The following is a 7,870-nucleotide window of genomic DNA, read 5'->3' on the forward strand; positions in this document are numbered from 1 at the left end:
CTTACCTTGGACTTGGACAATTAAACACACTTAGGTTCATTTATTATGTATTTCTTTATTTTTATTTTTTTGAGACGAAGTCTCACTCTGTCACCCAGGCTGGAGTGCAGTGGTGTAATCTAGGCTCACTGCAACCTCCGCCTCCTAGGTTCAAGCGGTCCTCCTGCCTCAGTCTCTGGAGTAGCTGGGACTACAGGCATGCCCCATGACGCCCAGCTAATTTTTTTTTTTTTGCATTTTTAGTAGAGGCAGGGTTTCACCATGTTGGCTAGGCTGGTCTCGAACTGCTGACCTCAGGCGATCCACCCACCTCGGCCTCCCAAAGTGTTGGGATTACAGGCGTAAGCCACCGTGCCTGGCCTATTTATTTCCCTGATTACCTCTAATAATTTTACAGAAGTCGAGATACAAAGCTCCAAAGGGACACTCCATTCTAGGCCTCCATCCATGAGCATCCTCTACTACATTATTGAAGAGCTAAAGTTTGAGTTGAGTGTTTGAAGATGAAAAAAAGTTTTTTAGACAGACAAGGATGTGAGTGTTGTGGGGATGGGAACAGCTTGTGCAAAGGTGCATTAGAACCAACAAGCATGGCCTACTCAGAATTCAGCAATTGATTCAAGCTTGCAGCGGGGACAGGGAGCACGTGGAGTGGCAGGGTTCTGTTGGAGTGGCAAAGGGTGGATTGTGCTGGGGCTTGTAAGCTACACTGAGAAGACCAGGCTATCCTGGGAAGAATGGGAGTTTTTGAAATGATTTAAGAGTGAAATGAACTTCTGAGATCAACATTTTACAAGGAATCTTAGGTCTTCTGCCTTGGAGCACCATTAACAATGGTCCCCTTTCTCCAAAGACTAAAATGTTTCTCAGATCATAAGGGGGACAATGAGTATCCAATGGCAAACGATGCTGCTATGATTTGAGTAATGGTCTCTCCTCCAAAATTGATATTGGCACTTAATCCCTGATGCAACAGTATTAAGGTTTGTGGCCTCTAGGAGGTAATTAAATCATGAGGGCTGTGCCTTCATGAATGGCATTAACACCCTTGTAAAAGGACTTGAGGTTGAAGGGAGTCTCTTCCACCATCTTCCTTCCATGTGAGGACACAGCAACTAGGCACCATCTTGAAAACAGAGAGCTTCCTCACCTCTCTGTTGGTGCCTTGATCTTGGACTTCCCAGCCTCCACAACTATAAGAAATAAATTTCTGTTCTTTACACATTACTCAGCCTAAGGTGTTTTGTTAAAGCAGTAAAAACAGACTAAGACAGATGCCTTATCCTCACTGATCCCCATGGCAGGAGAACCCCTATCCTGGCCTGTGCCCATGGAAGAGCCTGGTGTGATGGGCCAATTAAGCAACTGCCACAGAGAGGGAGCCCTGCCTGAACCCCCTTTGTTGACTGCTGCAGCCAAGTATACCATCTCAGTAAAGAGGGGCTCAAGAATGGTCTCAGATGTGGGCAGGCCCAGGGAGAAGGAGCTGTCCCCATTCTTGAACCATTGTCAGGTTGGCCATTGAGTTGGGCTGAGTTTGGACTTGGCCAGGATGGAAAGTGAGGAAGAGGAGAATGGACAAAGAAAAGTGGCCCTGGATATTAGATGGTGGGGCCTGGGGGTTGACAATTCCTGTCTCCTGGGGTAGCGCAGTGCTGGCCACAAACAGGGCATCTGGTGAAAGTTTGCTGATTGACAGATAGGGCGGGCTCCTGCTCCCTCCACCTAAGCCTTGTGTCTCTGAGAACCCCCTGGAGGAGAGGACACAGCTCTGCACCTCCTGTGGCTGGAGGGCTTTGTACCTGGAAGTCACCTTGGCAGGAAGCCTTTCTGCCTCCCTCCTCATCCCGCTTCCTGCTATGATGCCCACTCATTCAGCTTTGCTTTTTTCCCATTTCCTGCTGCCAGGACTGTTCCATGTTTCACTAGAAGGGAAACATTATTGTCCTTTCCACTTCTTACCCCTTCCACCAATTTTCTTTTTAGGTAATAAATTTGTTCCTTAATGAGCTTCCTCAGGATCCAGCCAGGCCCCAGTCAAGGCCTGTCTCTGCCTTGGCACCTCAGGCACAGTCCTGGAGAAGCCAGGACCAGACCCCTCCCCAGGGATCAGCAGCAGCCTCCACCGGGACTCGGAATGTATTAGGCCATTATCCCACCAAAGATGGAAGCCCAAGCCCATGTCCTCTCTTCCCCAGGGTTCAGAACAAGCCCAGCAACACTGTAAGTAGCAACTGCACTAGCAACAATGCCCTCTGGTTAAAGCCATGCAGATAGCACAGGAAATCGGAATGGCAGGGGCTTTCAAGATCAAAGTCAGTTGGATCTTTTTTAGGGGAAGGGCGGATCGGGTTTTGAAAGGATTCAGAGATGGAGGAATTAATCCTGCCGTTATTTTGCAGACACCAGTTCTTTCACGGTGGGCCAGTGGCACCGTATAATCCAAGATGAGGCTGCTGCCCTGAATGCAGAGAAAGCCTCGTTTCCTTGCGTTAAACCCCACATGGGATGCTGTCCCTCTCCCACAGGGATGGGGCAGGCTTGGTGGGATAGCACTTGGAAAGAGCGCATCTCATGCCCGCCACGTGGCAAATGGTCAGTGACCCCCTAACAGTGATGCTGTGACCAGTAGCTTCCTACCCAAGGGGAGGCCAGAGCCTGATGTCCCCTCTTGCCCGTGGAACAACTCGAGGCCAAGTTCTGATCCTGATATCACTGTTTGGGGACAAAAGTCAACTATTCACTCCACTGGAAGATGTGGTTCACTCCACAGTCTCTGGGATACGTCAGACCAGCATAAGATGCCGTTGAGGAACAAGCCAACATAGCAAGGCTGCAACTACCACAGAGATAGCAAGGAGACAGGTCATATGGGAAGAGGATGGCCTTGGTGGGAGGTAGATCTGAGTTCCAACTCTGGCTCTGCCACTTAAAGCTGTGCCACCTTGTGCAAATCTCTTCACTTCTCTGAGTCAATTTGTCATCATCATTGTCATTGTCATCATTGTCATCGATACCATTCACTGAGTGTGCACTGTATGCCAAGCAGCCATCTCTCATTTGATTCTCATAGCAACTGTATGAATAGATATCATTACTCCTATTTTAAGCACAAAGAAAGGAGGTTCAGGGAGATTATTAAACTTGCCCAAGACCAACAAGTAAGTAGTTAAGACAGGTTTTCAGCCTGACTCTCGCTGATTCCAAAGCCTATGTATGTGGTGGGTTGCATGGTGGTCCCCAAAAAGATATGTCCCTTTCCTAAGCCCCAGAACCTGTGAATACGATCTTATTTAGAAAAACGATCTTTAGGCCTGACACAGTGGCTCAGACCTATAATCCCAGCACTTTGGGAGGCCGAAGTGAGCAGACTGCTTGAGCTCAGGAGTTCAAGACCAGCCTGGCCAACATGCTGAGACCCCATCTCTAAATAGCCTGGAGTGGTGGCATACACCTGTGGCCCCAGCTTCTCAAGAGGCTGAGGTGAGAGGATCTCTTGAGCCTGGGAGATGGAGGTTGCAGTGGGCCGAGATTGCACCACTGGACTCTAGCCTGGGCAACAGAGCGAGACCCTGTCTCAAATAAAAAAGAAAAAGAGTCTTTGCAGATGTAATTAAGTCATGGATCTTGAGATGACGTCATCTAGGAATATCCAGATGGGCCCTAAATCTAAAGACAAGTGTCCTTAGACAGAAGAAAAAAAAGACACAGAGAAGAGACGGTTATGTGAAGACAGAGGTAAGATTAGAGGTCTGCAGTCATGAGCCAAAGACCTCCTGAAGCCACCAGATGCTGGAAGAGTCAAGGAAGGATTCTTCCCTGGAGCTCTGTGGGAGTAAGGTGCTCCCAGCACCTTGATTTTGGACTTCTGGCCTCCAGAGTTGTGAGAATAAATTTCTGTTGTTTTAAGCCACTCGGTTTGTGGTTATCTGTCACAGCAGCCACAGGCTACTAACACACCGTGCAATGTATTTAAGTGCGTTTTATTGCTATCAAATGGTCCCTGCACCCCCTGCCCTGCATCTCCACCAGCCTCAGTTCCACCTGCTTGCTGGAGCAAACGGCAGTGGAAAAGTTCATCAGTTCTCTTAGCTCCTTCCAGGCTCGTCTCTACCCATTTGACACCGGCCCTGGTTAGTATGTCCAAGTGGCCTTGAGCCACCTCCCTGAGAAAGTCACTCTCTGCTAGGATGGAGCAAGTCCTGCAGACTGCGGGTCGGGGAGGGCTTGCCGCAGCCTGGGCCACAGGCTCTCTCCTCCTGGAAGCTAGTCTGCCATGGCTTGTGCTGTGCAGGACTCAAGGTCACTTCTGGTTTAAGCCCCCATCTCATTGACAAAGGAACGAGCAGGGGACAGCCATCTGAGGGGAGGGCATGGGGAACAGCATAGGTGGGAGCCCCAGTTCTCCCAAGCTATTCAGGAATCGGATCGAGTCACTCCTTTCCTCAGAAACAGAGCAAGGCTCCTCACAGCCTCCCAAATCGAGCCCAAACTCAGCCTGGAACTCAGCACTCTTTATTATCTGGCCCTGGGCTGTTGCTGGATTCCTAGACACTGGGATTCCTGGATGCTGATCCAGCTCTCAAGAGCCCTGGCTCTGTGGCTATGATGATTGCCCCTGAATATCTGTACCACTACACCCAAACCACTCAGGGGCCCCAGTGTGTGTGCCCCTGTTCTGTGAAACGTGAACAGTGTTGGCTGAGCCAACACACCCTACCCTACACCCCGCCCCTGTTCCCATCCTGCCCTGCACCTCCTCCTGCCTTAGTTCCACTCTGCCTGGGGAGAGGAAGGGACAGACCCTGCGCACTCCCCTCCTGTCCTATGAGCTTCTCAATGCCTGATCACCCCACCGCCTGCCTGATCACCCCTGCCTGATCAGGATGCCTGATCACCCCACCGCCACCCCCACCATAATGGCCTTGCCCAGCAGAGCGCACAGTAATTGCATGATCAATATTTGTTCATATGAGTTGAGTTGAACTGATTTAAAGGAGTTCCTCCCCAGACAGAATGATTCCTCTCCTTAAAGATGTAGGCTTTCGGCTGGGCATGGTGGCTCATGCCTGTAATCCCAGCACTTTGGGAGGCTGAGGCAGATGGATCACAAGGTCAGGAGTTTGAGACCAGCCTGGCAAACATGGTGAAACCCTGTCTCTACTAAAAATACAAAAATTAGCTGGGCATGGTGATGAGCGCCTGTAATCCCAGCTACTCAGGAGGCTGAGGCAGGAGAGTTGCTTGAACCTGGTAGATGGAGGTTGCAGTGAGCAGAGATCATACCACTGCACTCCAGCCTGAGCAACAGAGCAAGGCTCTGTCTCAAAACATAATAAATAAATAAATAAATTAACTAATTAATTAATTTAAAAAAGATGTAGTCTTCTATATTTTGTAGCTTTCCTGGTCCTTACTTATTCTTGCTCTCTGACATCATCTAGTCACAGCTCACCAATTCCTGCTTTGCAGTGAGCAGGCTGGGAGCTGTACATTCCCAGGAGGCACCGTTCACACAGACCGTGACATGACTGGCACCCCCTGAAGTGTGTGATGTAGTGTCCCTATCCCCAGGTGCCTTCAGCCTCTGGATGCTGGCCCACCTCAGGGAAATATAGATGCTGTTTTTCTTTCCTGGTGCTTGTTTTGCAAAGCAACTTGAGACACATGGCCAGGGCTTCCTTCTGGGGCTGCAGCATCTCCCTGCAGAAGCAGCCAGCTCCTCCACAGCAGGGTCATCAGGGAAACACCCCATTCTCTGTTCCCCTCCATCGCAGAACTAGATGGGTTCCTAGAGGCTCCCTAACTAGGTCATCCTCCAGCTGTCCACAGACCTTGCCTTCTGTCTTTGTAAGCGGGACACATGATGCATGGTCCTAATGCGCATGTTTGAGGGTGACAAGGAGCCTTGATGTATTAGTATACCGGGACAACACGTATAAATCATGACTGTCCCTGGGAATCTGAGATTCCAACGCAGGACTGCCTGACACCAAAACCTATGCTATTAGGGTTGACAGAAGGGAAAGGAAGCCAGAGAGAGCAGGGAGAGCTCTCCAGGGAGGGGTCCCAGGGAAAGGACCTGGAGGAACAGTTCCATGTGAGGACACTGCTGCTTTTGCCTTCTATGTCCCCCCACCCAGCCTCCTCCCTTCCAGGCCTAACTTCTGGTGAGCCAGACCCACTGGGGCCAGGAGAGTTGGTGCAAAGATCCTTCAGCGGAAGGTCAGGGGTTCTGGAGTGAGTCTTGGGTCCATGTAAGCAGAGCCAGCCACTTCCCCTACCTGGCCTTTGTCAACCCTTCTGCACACTGGGCATAATCCCCGCCCTCCGTGGGATGATGTGGGTGATGGGCTGTGGGCCCTGTGAGACACGGTAGCTCTTCTCGCTTGGGGTCTGGATGGGGGCTCTCCTTGAATATCTCCTGGAGGGACAAATAAGCTCTCAATCAAATACTTCCTGTTGGGCACCTATTCCTGAGCACATCTCTCTGGGAAGAGGGGGTTAAAAAAGGGGGTCTATGACATTCCTTCCTCAAAGCATTCTGGATGCAATGGAATAATACAGGAGCTGGGATATAGCTAACACCAAGAATGACAGATGTTGAGAAGCTTGAATGGGGAAGAGGAAGCAGGCATGGAGATGGTTGTGGGACCAGTCGCCATGCTGGTCCGCGAGGAGTCTCAGGGGGTTATGGCTGAGGCAATGGCACTGGTGGTCCTAAGGAAGAATTTAGGTGGTCTGGGCTTCCATGCCATGGTTGCCCGGGCCCCAAGCTCTATGTGTACGTGATGTGAAGCCAGGAAATGCAGGCAGTGCAGCTCAGCCTCCTGGGCTGCCGGAGGAGCTCTGAGAAACCTGGGGCCAGGGAACCAAGCAGACTGGCTCTATCTTGGGATTTGGCTGCAGACACTGCAGGAACTGAATGCCTTGCGAGGCTGGGACTGCCTTCTTCAGCCCCGTTTCTGTGTGGGGTCCCACGTAGGCAGCTGTCACAGGCTCCCAGAGGGATATTCAAGTGGACCAAGGCAGGAGAAAGGCTGGGGAAGGCTGAGGTCAGCAACGCCCTCTTCGGTTTTTGATAATTTTAGCCACATAGGGAGGAGGCCAGTTGTTCTTTATCTGAGGCAATTGTCTTCAGTTTAAATGAGTCCCCGGAGAGGCTCACAGCTGGGACAGGAAAGCGGGCAGAGGCGGAAGTGGGGAGGGCTCAGGGCTTGACAACGGCCTGGCTCGGTAGGCTGACTCCTCCGCTAGGAAGCAGCAGCTCCAGATCTGAGTGCAGGGAGGACAACTGCATCCCCAGGAGGCCCGGGAGGTCACTGTCTGATCTGGAAGGGGCAAGAGATGGATCACAGGAACGGAAGTATAGGAAACATGGCCAGAGTTAGCAGCGTGGGTGCAACTGGAATCGATTGTTAGCCCATCCACTTGGGGACTTTCCACAAGACAAAGCAAATGCTCCCCTCCAGCCTATGAGGTCAGGGACCTCAGGACGTGTAGAGCGTTCAGTGTCCCCGCTGCCCTTCTGGCCTCCCTGTGTGACTTGGATGGATCTGAGGTGCCTGCTCCTGGACACCGCTCTCCTGCAGGGTCAGATGTGGAGTGTCCCCTGCAGGCCTGAGGACTCAGCACTAGTGAAGGGCTCTCAGCAGCTTGCTCAACAGGCACTGTCCCCTGGGATGTTGGTTTGTTTAAACGAAGGTGTTCTGGCCTAGTGGGCGGTGGCTGCTATGAGTAATCCTGCTCCACAATTGACATCTCAGTTCAAATTCTTCAGCTCTGTCTGTTTTTCACCCGATCCATGCAACCAAAGGGCTCACATAAGCTGACACCCATCGCCTGCTCTCCTCAGGGGAAGCATGGGAGC

At 51.2% G+C, this 7,870-nt stretch overlaps 1 annotated feature.

The window, feature by feature from the left end:
- Window positions 7,236-7,535: an enhancer, noted in NCBI's record as "active region_15392". NCBI's record gives its function as "activates an Ori minimal core promoter by ATAC-STARR-seq in GM12878 lymphoblastoid cells {active_cell/tissue: GM12878}" and the evidence as "EXISTENCE:reporter gene assay evidence [ECO:0000049][PMID:35858748]".

The sequence above is a fragment of the Homo sapiens genome, chromosome 2, assembly GCF_000001405.40.
Source record: "Homo sapiens chromosome 2, GRCh38.p14 Primary Assembly".
NCBI classification, from domain to species: Eukaryota; Metazoa; Chordata; class Mammalia; order Primates; family Hominidae; genus Homo; species Homo sapiens.